Source organism: Homo sapiens, chromosome 7 (assembly GCF_000001405.40).
Source record: "Homo sapiens chromosome 7, GRCh38.p14 Primary Assembly".
NCBI lineage: Eukaryota > Metazoa > Chordata > Mammalia > Primates > Hominidae > Homo > Homo sapiens.
In genome coordinates, this window is record NC_000007.14 from 51,948,956 (window position 1) to 51,966,286 (window position 17,331).

General features: G+C 35.2%; 2 annotated features.

Moving 5' to 3' along the window:
• Positions 1,054-1,571: an enhancer, noted in NCBI's record as "OCT4-NANOG-H3K27ac hESC enhancer chr7:52017705-52018222 (GRCh37/hg19 assembly coordinates)". NCBI's record gives its function as "activates a minimal SCP1, AML or CMV promoter by ChIP-STARR-seq in primed H9 embryonic stem cells {active_cell/tissue: H9 hESC(primed)}" and the evidence as "EXISTENCE:reporter gene assay evidence [ECO:0000049][PMID:30033119]".
• Positions 1,938-2,232: a silencer, noted in NCBI's record as "tiled region #8738; HepG2 Repressive non-DNase unmatched - State 24:Quies". NCBI's record gives its function as "represses a minimal TATA promoter and a strong SV40 promoter by Sharpr-MPRA in HepG2 cells {active_cell/tissue: HepG2}" and the evidence as "EXISTENCE:reporter gene assay evidence [ECO:0000049][PMID:27701403]".

Here is a 17,331-nt window from a genome sequence, read left to right on the forward strand (position 1 = left end):
AGTTTGAAATAAAGTCATTAACAGTTTTTAAAAGCTTTAAATTTTAGCATCGTAATATAAAGAAAAAATGTTTCAAAGATACAAAAAGATTACAAAATTCCAATGACAACCTAATTTTCTATAATCTATTAAGAAACCTAAGAAATTAAATAGGTTCTGTGAAAAAATACATTCTTTTAAAACTGGACTAAACAATCATGTCTTAGTGTTTTACTTTTCCATTGAATGTTCAAAAGCTGGTTTCAAAAATTAAATGAAAGCTTATGGACTATTGAACCACAGCGAATTCCAAAACACGCGGCAGGAGAATGGCGTGAACCCGGAAGGCGGAGCTTGCAGTGAGTCGAGATCGCGCCACTGCACTCCAGCTTGGGCGACAGAACAAGACTCCGTCTCAAAAAAAAAAAAAAAGAAAGAAAATATGATTCCATGGCACAGAAAAGGAATATGTATTCTAATTGTTTAATCCTATTACATTTAAAACATTTTAAATGCCAGGTGTGGTAACTCATGCCTGTAATTCCAGCACTTTGTGAGGTTGAGGCAAAAGGATCACCTGAGGTCAGGGGTTCGAGACCAGGCTGGGCAACACAATGAGATTCTGTCTCTGCAAAAAATAAAAAAATTTGACATTATTTTTATAAGGGAGGTTTTAAAAATATTTTAAAGTTAACTGTTGATATTACATAGAACAATGTAATAATTGTATCCATTTTAATAGCTTCCAAAATCATGAGGAAGAATAATTTTATGGTTATATTTAATGACATTAACTCAAGAAAAATGATAAAGGGCTTTTCTTGTATTTTCGCTATACGCCAAGCACTGTGGTGAGCACTTTCTATAAATGATTAACCCCTTTAGTCTCACAACTATCCTGTGAGGTTGATGTTTTCTGTAACAACTAACTTTACAGTTGAGAAAGTAAGCACAGAGAGGTTGGCTCATTTGCGCACAGCTAAAGAGCATTCCATGGCAGAGGCAGGAGGTGAAATCAAGCACTCTGGGTCTGGAATCTATGACCTTTACAACTAGGCTGGATTGCCTTGGGGAGGAGAGTGTACGGATTAATAAATAAACACTTTCCTGAAGAGCCATCCAAACACAAGGATGGACTTTTTGTATTAGACTCAGATGCATTCATTGTGTTTTGTTTTGAGTGAGTGCTGCAAAGTGCTTCTTGCATCAGTCTAAAATCATTTATATTTTTGTGATTTATTTTTGAACTTCTACACTATCATGGATTCTCAAGTGTTACCATCTAACACTAAAATCATCTAAACAAGGGCCTCGCAGCAGCTTTTGGAGTGGCCAGCAGGGAGTTCCTGTGATTCATGTGCATGGTCGACTCGAAGCCATTGTGCCCATTGTAGTGGAAAGAGAGGAGGGTGGTGTGGCCACAGGGGGCCCTGCACGCCTCTTCTTTCAGTCATCTCTTTCCTGGCAAGCAATTACTGTTTCACTGAAAATCTATTTGCTTCAGCTGATCTCTCCTAAATGAAATCTAACCAACAATCAACTAGCATTTTCAGAGTGCCCGCTGTGCATAGAGCATGCTTGGAAAGCATTTTTTAAAGGAAATATTAACATTTGAAATATTAAGACCATGATATATTTGTAGAAGATGTAGACTCCTTCACCCTCAAAATTAGCAATATAAAGTTCTTTAGGAAATCTGCCAGACTTACTTTTATGTCTTTTATTAATGGCCTTTAGCAAAACTTCTTTGTGGTTTGTTTAGAATTCTCTATCTGCATTTCAGAGCTTGTTTCTGTCAGTAGAACACATTCTCTGTTAACTTTGATTTTTATTTATTTGCATGTTTGTCTTGCTGTCTAATAAAAGGTATGCATTTTGTAATTGTGAATTTTTGCAGTATAGGAGGTAGAGAGTGATTTCGAATGCAGTTGCAATAATCAAATAAATCAATATTTTGCAAAAGGGTAATTTAGTGGAAAATAGGGTTTGCTGTTCTTGATTTGTACTAAAATGCCTTCTGGCCACATCACACCCGAGAATGGCCCAAGATAGCAGAAAATACCAGATGACGAGATTCCTGCTTATTCATGCTTGCATCCTTTCTGCAATGGAGATCCCTGGCTCTGGTTTGGTCTGAGCCACATAAACCTAAGCTCTGAAGTGCTAGAAAGCCATGGAAAGCTATGCTCATGCTTGCCAAGGAATCTGTCTGAAGAATACTTGAAAAATTTGGATTTTTCAAGTCCAGTTTTCAATGTGCCATCATCATTCTCTAAATTTAATTCTTTAGATGTGCTGAAATGTAAAAGCTCAACTAAAATTTTATTGTTTTGCCTGTTTAATAAAGCAATTTGAACAATACCAGAAGAAAATGAAAGCACAATTATATGCTTTTTCTAAATTCAGAGCTAGTCCAATGTGCTATTTTTATATGTATTGTTAGCTCAGAGCTTAGATAAAATTTAGTATTCAAATATAATCTCCTAAACACAAAAAGCAGCCAACTGAACACGAGAAGTCCATATCTATGGCTCACAAAAAGGATTTGGATTAGAATAATAGAAAAAGGTGGAGAGTGGGAATTATTTTTTAAGGCAAATTCCATTAAATTTTATACTAGAAGTAAAAGTTTAATATGTGAAAAATAATAAGAGTTATGAACAAGTACTTAACAGGAAAGTAATTCTTTCATCAGCTTTAAAATAAATAAGCACTTTCTTTTCCTCAATCTCTTTATCCTCATTGTTCAGAAACCCTTTCTTGTCATAATCATCCTTTAAATTACAGAAAATAAAAATCAATCATCGTTTCTTCTTACTTTCTTATAAAAATACCACTATATAGCTGTTTTTTTTTTACAATTACCCATAAAATGATGAAAGGAGAATTTTTAAACTACAAATTGTTACAAAGTTTAGAGACAATAACAAATACCCATTAAAGGTTGTTATACTTTAGATCAAGTTAAATTATCAATCCAAATTAGCCCAAACCATGTCCTCTGAAAATGAAACTTGTATTTTAGATTTGGATATCAAATGAGAATAAGAATAATCTGCTTATAATACTCCACATAAGGAATGTTTTAGTAACATTTTTGATATGAAAAAATATATAATTGCTCAGTGTCTAGATAAAAACATGTATATTGGTACAAAAACTTACAATTGGAAAAGCATGTGTATATGTATTACACATATCCCTGTGAAAGTGGTGGTAAAAATATTATTACTTTGTTTTACATTTCAAGTTCCTGGGACTCAGAGAAAATAAATGACTGCCCAAAGTCTTCTAATAACAAGGTAGGATTCTCTCATGTCTCCAAACTCTAAAAATGCTTTTGTGCGCTTTTTTTTAAATCAACTCTTACACTTGAATAATAAAATCTCAGAATACTATAGTTTTTCAAATAAACATGGGTTTTGCTGAATTATAAAAATTATTTCATTTTTTATTAACTTCAATTGAAAAATAGTTCTCATATTTTCACACGGTCATTTCATCTATCTTCTATGTCAATTATAAAGTTCACTTGTAGGTAATTGCCTAAAAATATTCCTTTGGGGAAAATGCCTACTTATACATAGATTATTAAGTATAGTCATTGTCTATGTAAAAATGGTTAACATATCGTAATAATAAATATGCAAAAAGTATGGTGTGCCAATTATTAGATGACAGCTGATACTTTTTATCTGATTTATCCTGATACAGATGAGATGATGAGTCATGAAATTAATATTCCAAGAAAGCTCCCCAGTAATGGACTTTAAAATACTCCTCATTCTCATCTTCAAATTTAAAAGCAGCCTAATTCAAACAGCTTCTACTTTGCTACCATGAGGCAGACACAGTGTAATTTCTTTTACTTTACAAATGTGATTTTTAATTTTAACAATATTTTTTTCGAATAGGTATTACTATCCTGTTAAACAGAAGAGAAAGCTGAGACTTACACCAAAACATTAGCCTCAAATCTCATGACTAGACATGGTGCAGCTAGAATTCAGATTTAGGGTTTGCTCATCCAGAAATCATGCTCTGTCTAATGAGTTAGAAGATGGAAGTTCATAGAATTGGATTATCAGGAGTTTTATATGATCCAAAGCAAATCATGGAGGTTTTTTTAATACTGTCATTTAAAATATTCAAAATGACAAACAAACCAAAGAAGAATTATATTTTATCTTAATATAAAGATTAAGATAAAATGTGTGAATGTATGTAGGTATATATCGATCTATGTATATTTCTATACACTAATAAAGTTACTGAAGAAGAATGCTGAACTTTTTTAAATTTTTAAACCCTAAGCTATTCAAAGATTTAACAATTCAGGGAGATATATGTCTTCTATGTTTACAGAGACTTACATTTAGAGATAAGAGACCTGCAATGAAATAATTTTTCTTCTATAGAAACCCCTGCCTATAATCCAGTGTGTATAATATGAAAAAATAATAAAGTATGGGTCTGAATTATGATTTCATTGTTTATTACTCATGCGAACTTTGGTAAATTTTTTTTTTTTTTTTTGAGACAGGGTCTCTTGCTCTGTCACCCAGGCTGGAGTGCAGTGGGACAATCACTGCAACCTCTGCCTCCCAGGCTCAAGTGATCCTCTCAGCTCAGCCTCCCTAGTAGCTGATGACCTAGTACAGGCACATGCCACCACACCCAGCTAATTTTTGTATTTTTTGTAGAGACAGGTTCTCACCATGTTTCCAAGGCTGGTCTCAAACTCCTGAGCTCAAGGGATCTGCTGGCCTCGGCCTCCGAAAGTGCTGGGATTACAGGTATGAGCCACCACACTCAGTCAGTAAATCTCTTTAGAAATTACTGTTCATTAGTTTTTTCATCTGTAAGACAAGGGAAATAGTATGCGCTTCATAAGCTACGGTGAGACTTAAGTGAGATTGTATATTTCAGTTTTCTCCCGTAATTGCTTCTCGATATTTAAAAATTTTCTTATCTCTAGAAAAGATGGTTTTTTGGAAAATAATTTTATAATGGTGAATATGATTTAATAATTTCTAAAAAGTTCCATGTTAACTAGTCATGGGTTTTCATAATAGTCAAAATAATTTTTATCATGCTTTGGTATCAAGCCCAAAATCTGTGTTGTTAAACACAATGTTTTTTTTTTTTTAATTTGTGATTGTTGGAGGTTGGCAAGAGACTGGGAAGGGAGACTCCACCACGCAGGCCACAGTGTGCCCACCTTGTAGCTCCACCTCCCGAAACATGAGGTTTTCTAAGATATGGAGCCCAGGAAAGAGACAGAGCACTAGGTCTTACACCGGCAATTAACTCCTCAGCCTAGAAGTGACATGCCATTTCTTCTTACAGAGTATTGGCCAGAATTAGTCACAAGGTCCTACCTATCCACAGAAGGGTGGGGAAATGGAGTTTTCCATTCATCTAAAAGGAGAGAAGAACCACATATGAGTGACCTTCAAAGATACCTTATACAAGTGTGACAAACTCTGGAGGGATTTCTGGTGGCCCTGCCTTTAAATATCATTTGCTTTTGAGAAATGAATTCATTTTTCTCAAAGAAATTCACATATGCAGATCTTGTGGGCTCACCAATATTACTCTTTTTTTATTCTAATACATATCTGGAATACCATAATTCTTAATAAGGATTTGGTAGCCCCAAAATGGAGACATTCTCTGATAAAATAGAATTGGCACTGCTTGGGCCATTTTCTTTGCTTGCAAAATCATCCTTGAATATTTTAAGATATCTTATAAAGAAAGAAACAAAGCAAACAAAAAACAAAAGTAAACAAACAACAAAACTTCTCCCTTTACCTGTTTGTTTTACATGTAGAAATTGTAAATGTAGAAATTGTTCTCCTGTGCATAAAATTACATAAGTATTTATGCTGATTATCTGTTTATAGTTATACCGTTTTATCTTTCAGACATTTCCTATGTTGTGAGCTACAGTTACTTCTGAGACTCCAAGTCTTTGCTTTGTTTATGCTGTTTTCTCAGGTCCCAGTGCCTTCTGCATCTCACACTGGATTGCAAACTCTCATCCTTAAAGACTCAAATTCTAGTTTCAGGACGACTCTTCCCGTCCCTCACACCATTAAGCCCTTCTTCTCTTAGAGGACTTAGAATATGCGTAAATCCACCTACTTAACTCTAAAGATGATTAGAGAGACTGTGAATGTCAGGTTCCCAATCAGAAATTTCACTGGAAATAGTGTCTAACTCAAATTTCATTTGCTTCTCAATAACAAGAAGACAAATAACCCAATTAAAAATTGGACAAACTCCCTGATAGACATTTCTCAGAAGAAATACAAATGACCAAGTATATTTTAAAAAATGCTCAGCATCACTAATCAGTAGGTAAATGCAAAATAAAACCACAATGAGATATCACCTCACACCAATTAGAATAGCTATCATGAAAATGATGAACAATAACAAGTGTTGGTGAGGATGTAGAGATAATAACTCTTGTGTACATTGTTGATGAGAATGCCAATTAGTATAGCCGTTGTGGAAAACAGTACATAGGTTTCCCCAAAAATTAAAAATAGAACTACCATATGATTCAGTAATCTTACTTCTGGTTATAGATCCAAAGGAAATGCAATCAATATGTTGAAGAGATTTCTGCACTCCCATGTTCATTGCAGTGTTATTCACAATAGCCAAGTTATGGAATCAACCTAAGTGTCCAAGGGATGAATGGATAAAGAAAATGCGGTACATATACACAATGGAATACTACTCTCATTTTTAAAAGAAGGAAATCTTGTCATTTGCACAATATGGATGAACCTGGAGGACAATGTGTTAAGTGAAATAATCCAGGCACAGAAAGACACATACTGCCTGGTCTTACTTATATATGGAATCTAAACAAGTTGAACTGATAGAAGCAGATAGTAGAATGATGGTTACCAGAAGTTTGGGGGGAAGGGAGTAAAGGAATGAAGAGTTGTTGATCAGGGAGGGGATACCAGTTTCAGATAAACAAGAGGAATAGGGTTTGAGATCTCTTGCAGAGCGGGGTGACTATATTAAATAATAAAGTATTGTATATTTCAAAATAACTAAAAGTAAATTTCAAATGCCTCATCATAAAAAGTCATGAGTGAGGTGAGGCATATGTTAATTAACTTGATTTAATTATTTTACATGGTATGAGTATGTCAAAATATTACATTTTACCTAATAAATGTATGCAGTTATCTTTTGTCAATAAAAAATTAATAATTATTAACAATTATTTGCTCTAAGTCTTAATAACAACTCTTTACATGCTGTGTGCTCATTTTTACTGAATTGCTATTATCAGATTTTTAAATATTTCCCCATATTGGAAAAAGAAATATCCATCTGGACATTTCTGTACTTTCTACACATCAAACATAATCCAATTTTCTTTTAAAGTAATTCTTTATTTGCATTTTCATGGATGTAAAAAAAAAAGTACACTTTATGGCCATGAGACTGTGTTCCATAACTAAATATTGCCTCACTAGAAGTATATTGTTTAAGACAATCATTTTACTTGGTATTCTATAAATGGGACTATTAACTCATCACTAATCTTGGCTAATGCATATTTTACTTAATATAGTGAGCACTTGTATATTAAGATTTGGGATATTTTCAAGTTCCAATAAAGAAGGTAGATATCAAATTGCTACATTATTACAAGCGAGTGTAGACCACTCTCAGAAAGTTTCTTTTCTGCTTGTAAATGCATTCAATTATGTGGTTTTTCTCAATTCCATTACGTTGGAAAAAATTAATTTAATTATTTCTAATTATACAAAACAGTGAAATTTCAACCTGTCCTTGAAATGTTTCCTTATAAACCCATGGAAGCTCCCTGCAATCATGACCCAACAGAGAAATACTCTGTGAATAATGGCTATTTTATAATAAGTTATTTTCTTTAAACTTTTATTTCTTAAAAATATTTTTCTCTTCTAATCAAGTTTTTAAAATATCATAATAAACTTTGAGTATGTAGGGGCAAAATAACCCATCTTAAATTTCTCCATCTCCCTGTACATTAGGCTGACCAAAGACAGATTAATAAGAGCAAAAACTACTAACCTGTGCATCATTCATGTAACACACAGAAGAACTCAGAGGTGAATGACTCACGAGGTAATTAGATCTTGAGCTTAAATACCACCAAAAGAAAAGGGATTTTGTGTTTCTGGGCAAGTGAAGCAAGTTATGGGATGGTAACCAGAAACAGTATGGTAAACAAGTGTTTGGTATGTGGTAAGGTTTTGTATGTAGATTTAAGTCAGTGCCTTCTCCATTGAAAATAGTTCATTATTTAATCTTTCTTCTTAAGACAAGAGTAGTTTACACACTACTATTACAGTGTTACACTATTCTGTGTTTTCCTGTGTGCTATTACCAGTGAGATTTGAACCTTCAGATGATCTCTTCTTGCTCATTAACATCCTTTACTTCCAGATTGAAGGACTCCCTTTAACATTTCTTGTAGGACAGGTCTAGTGTCAATGAAATCCCTCAGCTTTTGTTCATCTGGGAAGGTCTTTATTTCTTCTTCATGCTTAAAGAGTATTTTCACTGGATATACTATTCTAGGTTAAAAGTTTTTTTTTTTTTTCCTTCAGCACTTTAAATATGTCACACTACTGTCTCCTGGATTGTAAGGTTTCCGCTGAAAAGTCTGCTGTCAGACATATTGGAGATCCATTGTATGTTATTTGTTTCTTCTCTTTTGCTGATTTTAGGATCCTTTCTTTATCTTGACTTTTGGGAATTTGATTATTAAATGCATTGAGGTAGACTTCTTTAGGTTAACTTTGCTTGGTGTGCTATAACCTTCTTGTACTTGAATGTTGGTATCTTTCCCTAGGTTTGGGACGTTATCTGGTATTATCCATTTGAACAAACTTATACTTCTACCTCTTTCTCTACCTCCTCTTTAAAGCCAATAACTCTTTTGAGGGTATTTTCTAGATCTTGTAGGCATGCATCATTGTTTTTATTCTTTTTTCTTTTGTCTCCTCTATCTATTTTTAAACAGCCTGTCTTCAAGCTCACTAATTCTTCCTTCTGCTTTATCAATTCTGATATTAAGAGATTCTGATGCATTCTTCAGCATGTCAATTGCGTTTTTCAACTCTAAAATTTCTTCTCGATTCTTTTTCATTATTTCAATCTCTTTGTTACTTATCTGACATAATTCTGAATTCCTTTTTGGTATTATCTTGGATTTCTTTGAGCTTCTTCAAAATAGCTATTTCTCTGTCTGAAAGATCACATATCTCTGTTTCTTCAGGATTGCTCTCTGGTGCCTTATTTAGTTTATTTGGTGAAGTCATGTTTTCCTGGATGGTGTTGATGCTTGTAGATGTTCTTTGGTGTCTGAGCATTGAAGAGGTAGGTATTTTTTGCATTTTTTACGGTCTGGATGTGTTAGTCCCTGTCCTTTTTGGGAAGGTTTTCCAGATATTGAAGGGACTTGGGCCCCAAGCCTTATAACACTGTGGTTTTATTGGTACCACCTTGATGATCTTGGATAAGATCCAGAAGAATTCTCTGGATTACCAGGCAAAGACTCCTGTTCTTTCCCCTTACTTTTTCCCAAACAGAGTATCTCTCTGTTCTGAGCCACCTGGCACTGGGGGTGTGGTGATGCAAGCACCCCTGTGGTGGCAAGCACCCCAAGAGAGGGTTCTTGGATCTCAGGAAAGAAAGAATTCAGGCAAAGCCCATAGAGTAAAGTGAAAGCAAGTTTATTAAGAAAGTAAAGGAATAAATAATGGCTACTCCATAGGTAAAGCAGCCAAGGGTGGCTGGTTGCCCATATTTATGGTTATTTCTTGATTATATACTAAGCAAGGATTATTCATGAGTTTTCTGGGATAAGGGTGGGCAATTCCCAGAACTGAGGGTTCCTTCCCTTTTTAGACCATATAGGGTAACTTCCTGACATTACCAAGGCATCTGTAAACTGTCGTGGCACTGGTGGGGGTGTCTTTTAGCATGCTAATACATTTTAACTAGTGTATGATGAGAGTGAGGATGATCAGAGGTCACTCTTATCACTATCTTGGTGTTGGTGGGCTTTAACCAGCTTCGTTACTGCAAACTATTTTTATCAACAAGGTCATAAAGACCTTTATCTTGTGCCAACCTCCTGTCTCATCCTGTGACTTAGAATGTCTAACCTCCTGGGAATGCAGCCCAGTAGGTCTCAGACTTATTTTACCCAGTCCCTATTGAAGATGGAGTTGTCCCAGTTCAAATGTCTCCATTACTAGGACTGGGCCCTTTCCTTCAGTGAAGCAGGGTGTGCCTAGAAACATTGTTCAGGAGGTAGGGCCTACAATGGGCCCTCCTGACTGCCTAATGCCTTATCTTACCGTGGATCAGCTGGTTTCAAAGATGCAAAACGAAGTCCTCTTTACTCTTCTATCTCCTCTCCTTAAGCAGAAGGAAGGAGCCCCTTTTGTTGCTGTAAGCTGCACCGCATGGGGTTGGGGAAAGGGTGGCACAGGCATTCCCTTATCTGCTCCATTTGATGTCTCCCTAGGTTACATGCCACCCTAGTCTCCTGACTTTAAGCCCGGTCCAGCATTAGCAGTTGCCTAGGAATTATAGTCCTTGTGTCCTAGATTTCCTTTCAAGTTTGCTAGGGACCCGAGAGCACTTTACCCTGCAGTGGTGAGGTTTGCTGAGAAACTCAAGTTCTAACTGCTGGGATGGGTGATTCCCCTGTGGCTGGGACTGGTCCAAATGCTCTCTTGATGCACGGGCACTGGCTGAGCCCAGCACAGCTTATTTTCTGCTATGACAAGGGAGCACCATGTGCAAGATAAAGTCCCCCAGTCACTGCATTCTTCCTCCCCAAAGTGCACAGATTCTGCCTCTATGCTGCGAGGCTCTTGCCAGAGGTTGGGGCAGAAGTGGTGTCGACGATTCAAGACTGTCTCTCCTGTAGTCCTCAATGGTTGTTTCAGTGATATGAAGTTAAAACCAGATACTATATTTGCTCACCTGATATTTGGTTCTTGTGATGGTGCTTTTCTGTGTGCAGATAGTTGTTAAAATTTGGTGTTTTAGTTGAGGGGATGATTGTTGTAGGCTTCTATTCTGCCATCGTGCTTTGCCCCCAAAAGTCTGTGAGGCATACTAGTTTTTCACTTTATTCTCTCTCTTTCTCTTTTGTCTTTGTCTGGTTTTACTAATGGGGTAGTATCAGCTCCATGAAATGTATTAAGAAGTTTTTATTTCTCTTCTTTTTGGTGGGGGTGTGGGTGTGGGTAGGGAAGAGATTGTGTAATATTGATGATAATTTGTCAGTTATTCTTTAAATATTTGGTAAGATTCTCCAGTGATAACATCTAGTTCTAGTTCTAGATAATTCATTTTTGAGAGCTTTTAAATTATCAATTCAAATATTTTAATGGTTATAGGACTATCCAGATTGTCTGTTTCATCTTGGTTGAATTTTGGTAGTTTTTGGTTTCTGAGGAATGGGTATAATTCTTAAGTTGTCAAATTTATGACAATACAATAGCTTATAGCATCTCCTTATCCTTTTAATGTCTGCAGGATCTATAGTGATATCTTTTGTTTCATTCCTGGTATTTTTGCTCATTTGTGTCTTCACTCTTTTTTTGTTAATCTTGTTCAATTTTAATAAGTTTTTTGAAGAAAAGACTTTTTGTTTTATTGATTTTCTTTATTGTGTTTCTCTTTCCAATTTTACTTGTTTCTGCTATTATGATTATAATTTTCTTCCTTATTCTTGCTTTGCATTGTTGGGGAGGTAAAGTAAGTTGATGCTTTATAGTTCTTAGTTGGAACAGACCCTTGTAATAAAATACAGATTAACCAGAGAAAAACAAAGAGAAGTTTATTAACATGTGTGCCTGATGTATACATGAGTGATGCTAAAAGAAATGAGGTTTTGACTTCAGGCTCAGATACCCTCATGTGCTGAATGACCCTAGGAAAGAAACCTGTGGGGAAGGGCTGGATTTGGGGAGATGGTGCTTTAAACAAGGGTAAGGCCTGTTATGCTGATTCAGTTGGTGCCTTGTCTAGTGATTTAGTCATCCTTCTTTTTCTGCAGAGAAGGAGACAACCTTACAAATAGAGATTTCCTTTATAGATGTAAATTTCACTTACAAAAGGTTATCTTCTACTCTGTTTTCATAGATTCTTCCGAGAGTCTGCATTTTCTCAAAATAAACTACTCAAAATAATTCCTATGCCAATAAGCATATTTAAGAAGGGGCATATTCTGGCCTCCTACATTTATATTCTGGGGTAGCATGTCCTGAACCCCATTGGCAGTTATTTTTGTCTTCTTTTTCTAGTTTCTTGAGCTAAGAACTTAGATTATAAGTATTTTGTGCTGTTCATTGCCTTCCCTGCACTGCTTAGACACATCCCACATTTTTCATATTTTTTATTTTATTCCATTCAGTTTTATGTGCTTTTTATTTCTTTTGGGATTTTCTCTTTGACTGATGGATTATTTAAAAGTACATTTCTTGATTTCCAAGTACTTGAAGACTTTCCTACTGTACTTATGTAATTTTCTAATTTGATTTCAATATAGTTAGATAACATACTCTGTATGATTTTTGCTTATTTAACACTTTAAAATTTAAACAGTTCACCAAAATATTTGTTAATATTCTATAGGCCAAATCTTTTACAATGGTGTGCCAGTAAACCCACCTGACATTTGCTCTGAGGGAGACATTATTTTTATTATATTGGCCAATATACTACTTACCCTCTGGGGAAGACATTACCTCAAACTTTAAAAGCTGTTTGCTCTGCAAACATTCTTGATAAGGTAGTCTATAGCAAAACCTGTAACTGTCGGCTCACAAAATGTACAGAAACTGAGAGACCCATAGAAAATTGTCTCCCAACACAACCATTTGCTAAAATCTTATTCCAAATTCTATTTTGAATTTAGATAAAATTCCAACAAAATAAAATTTATTTTACAATAACTTCCATCTTTCTTTATAACCCTGAGTTCCAATCCTATTCATTCAAGTTTTCCTCTATGCTTTAATGAAAATTGCGCAATTTTACTAATACAATATCTTCAAATTTCTTGTTAAATATGTACATATTATCTCTTATTGTTAATACGATTTCTCCTGCTTCCATGTTTTTAATTGGTTATTACTGATACAAATAAATTTAAATAATTTAATTATTTATTATTCCCTTCAACACTAGCCATTACTCTCTTATTTCCACTGGACATTTGTTTTAAAATTGTTCAGTTAATTATCAATTGTTTCTCATTACTATCATAATAAGAAAGTAGGGATAATGCTGTTTCTTCATTGCTAAAATATAGATTATTTATATTGGTTTACTAATTACAATGTTGAGATCAAAAGCAATTAATGCCATAGTGGGAATCTCAGTCTTTTCCTAATGGTAGTGGGAATAAATTTTATGTTCCCACATAAATGTGATGGTGGCTGTATATTTCAGATGAATGATCTCTCTGGGAAGCACTAGAGGGCCATTGGAAAAGAATGAATGAAAGTGTGAGTCCTTTTGTGCCTATCACTCTATCTAGATTTCTGTCCTCAAAGTGGAGTTCCTCATCAGCCTCTTTCCTCTTTAACTAGACTCCTCTCTTACTGGGAGAAATTAGAGCGAAGAAGGGGCTCTCTCTAATCTCTGTGTACTCTGACTTCTACCTGCCATTGTTTCAGCCCCGTTGAGCAACTCCCAGTTCTTCTGAGACGGGGTTTCTTGCTTGTCTAGAAAGCCATGTCAATGATCGAGATAGAGGGACAATGAGATACCAAGACTACAAGGGAAAGTCTGGTCAAGGGAAGATATTCTTCAGAGAAAAAACGTGTCCTAAATCTGGCACTCCCACCAAAGAATTTAATCTGTGATGTCTGTTAACCCAAGGGGTACTCAAAGTTTTAGGTGAGACTAAATGGAGCCAATAACTTGATTTGAAAATTTTGGACTCTTAGTTATACATTGTGGTATCAACTTCAAGCTCTACAGTCCGTGTCTGATTCCAGCATAACTTGTTTCACTGGTGTCCTCCAATTCCTGTATCTCAAAGACTGGGCAGACCCAGGACGGGTTCTTCTCTAGTTTAGGAGGGATGGTGTTCTCCAGCTCAATGATTTGTAGTAATACATTGTAGACATAAACAGGAGACATATGGTATGCTTTGCATCTCACAGGGCCTTGGCAATTATGCTCTCAGTGATTGCCACAGATAGACATTTACTTATGGCATCAGCAATAATGGGTGTGAGCCTGCATACATAGGCTTCATGTTGGTTTACCAGTCATCTCTGTGCCAGGTGCTGTGTCATGCTGCCATGATGCTCAGAGACCTACTGTATAAAAAGAGCTCCTTCAACCCCTTCCAAGTTGTTCATGTCTAGTAAAGACACTGAGACAGTAGTGGACCTGGCCTATGCCATTTTGTTGATAAAAAGTACAAATATCAGGGTGAGATTTCTCCTTTTTGGTGAAGGGTTAGCAGATAAATACTATAGGTAAACTTGTATCATGTCATCACATAAAAATGTTTTATTAAGTTTCTATTTAGCAATCAGCAAGAGGATGTGAATCTCTGAGAAACTTAGGGTTGTATCCTTTAGAGAAAACTAAAGAAAGAGTTTTTGTCTTTTAAGGGTATTTTGAATAATGAAAAATCCTTTGTTGTTGATCATATCTGCAAAACAAAATAAAACAAAAACAAAAATACACCAGCAAGTAAGACAGTGAGAAAAAAATATCAGTAAGGCAGAAAATGGATATGTTCCAGTGAAAAAATATATTTTAAATGGTTAGAAGATAAAGAAACATCTTTCAAATACAATTGGATGGGGGGATAATAGTTGAAGAATAAATCAAGAAGTTATGTGACCTAAACTCCCAGCAAAATCAATGTGAAAATTTACTTGGAACACATTAATGATGTCAGAAATATCAAATAATATAGATATAGGAAAGAATCTGTATTTGTTAGAGAAGAACAGGAAAGCTGCAATAACAGATTAATCACCAAAATTTAGTATTTGAAGTCACATGAAGTTTTATGATTTTCCTACCATCCTCCAGGAGAATGTTCCTGTGGTCAGAGATGCTGTCCTCTACTTGGGCATTAGGAACACAGGATACTTTCGTCCTGTGGTTCCAACACTCCCTAGGTTTCCTTCTCATTTTCACCAGTAAAAAGGTCTGCGTGTTCAGTACAGATGCAGCCATCCACTTTTTAAAACTATTTTTGATCTGTGGTTGGTTGAGTCCATGCATGCAGAACCTGTGCATATATAAGCCAACTGTAGGTACTGGGGAGTTTTAAGAATGGAGGGAGAAATCCTGAAAACACAGGGTCTTATAGAACCGAGATTAATGTTCTTGCTTGGGAAGCCACGGCCACTTTCATTCTCATGATGCCTAAGAACTAAGAACTATGGCTGACCGAAGATGCAAGCTGATAACTTTGGGTAGGTATCATGTCAGACAAAAAAGCAGCAATGTTTCATTACACAACCCAAGAAATCAAGATTTCAAATCCTTCCAGAAAGAGCCCATACATTGGTTTCAACATGTTTCCTTTGGTTTACCTATAGAAATTGTCAGAGTTCTTAACCCCCTTCCCCTATTGGTGATGTGATGACGTTTTTGTCTTAATCTATGGGAAACCTTTCTCATGGACAGGCCTTCACTAGGTTCTAGGGGTCATTGGAGGTCCTAAGTGCAATATCTTTCCCTGATCTGGGTCCTGCTACAGCTACACTGATAAATCCAAAAATGCTTTCTTCAGTAACAGGTAGCCCAGGGCAAACCTCTAACCTTATCCATGACATGTCAGGGTGTTTCACCAACAGGAAGGCATGCCTCTTCTCTGAATCTATTGAAACCCCTTCTCAAGTGTGTGAACTTTATGGATTTTCTTTCCTTCTTTGATATCTGATGGGCCTACTGCTTAAGATAACTTATTTTGGCTTTTGCCTGGAATAAGAAACATTCCTTCTGGCATTGTGCATGTACACATGGACTTAGTTCTGAGAATCATGGCTTATAAAAGTCAGTAATTATACAATCACAAAACTATTGCTTTCTACTGAATTGCCTGCTTGTTTTAATTTAGTTCTAAAGCTCATATAAATGGTAAATAATTAAAATTAAGACCAATAGAAAAAGATAACCTATGTATTCCATATTTCTATCCAAAATTTTATTTTCATTGTCATATTGTTTTAAAGGTCCAGTTGTACTCTTTTGAATGTTTTGGTTTTCCTATATTGATCTTTGAGAACAGTTGAGTTCATTAAAATAATTTTAAGTGAAAATAGTCAACCAGTTCAACATTCTTGAATAAATAATATTGTTATATGTGAAAATGTCTGTTTCTTTTCAGAATTTGGTTGTAAGACTGTCTAAGAATAGAGCAACCATACTACAAAAAAGGAGTTAAATTGCTATGAATGTGTGTCTGTGCATTTTTTTCATTTTTTTCTTTCTTTCTTTTTTTTTTTTTTTTTGGAGTCATACAAGATAATTTCCAGTGCGTTTGATGCAGGTTGTTCTAGTTTTAAATCCATGGTAAAGGGTAAATTATAGCTTTAAGGATTTTCATTGTTAGCTAAGACAGTGCATCCGATAATTGTCAGATAAACACCAAAAGCAAATCGATGTCAGCTGTGAGGGAGATCTGTGGTCACATTCTGCACGGTTTTGTCTTGCAGAAAGATTTTATCACTGGCACAGTTGAAGCTAGGAGCATGAGGATACAGCAAATGAAGTAAATGGCAGAATCACAAAGATAAGAGTTCTTTAGTGAATATTGTTCCAGACCAATCTAACTTCAACAGAGATCTCAGACACTTTAACTTTAAAAACGGCTTTCAATCAGAGATTCTTTGAACCAAAATTTAAGAAGATGAAACTTTTATTTCTGTTTAATTTTAAAGAGATTCTTATCCTCTGTGCAACTAATATTCTTCCAAGTGAATGTGTTTGTTATTAACAGATTGGTCTCATTGTCTAATTCATTGATGTATGGATCATTGTATAATACATTTTAAAATCAATAAGCTCTAAAGTTCAAATTCTTCACTTACTGATGTGTGCAAGTGCTTTAATACAAAAATAACTTCAGTAGTCTTCTTGTCATCGTTATTCCAAAAGGAAACCTAAAAGCCTATCATTTAAAACCATCTGCAGCACTGGGTAAATATCACTCTCACAACACGATCTACAGCCGCAAAGATCCTTTGTGTAAAACCATTCAGTGGCCTTTTATTGTTTCCACAAAAAATGCAAAAAGTAACAATTTCTCTTCCAATTAACTCC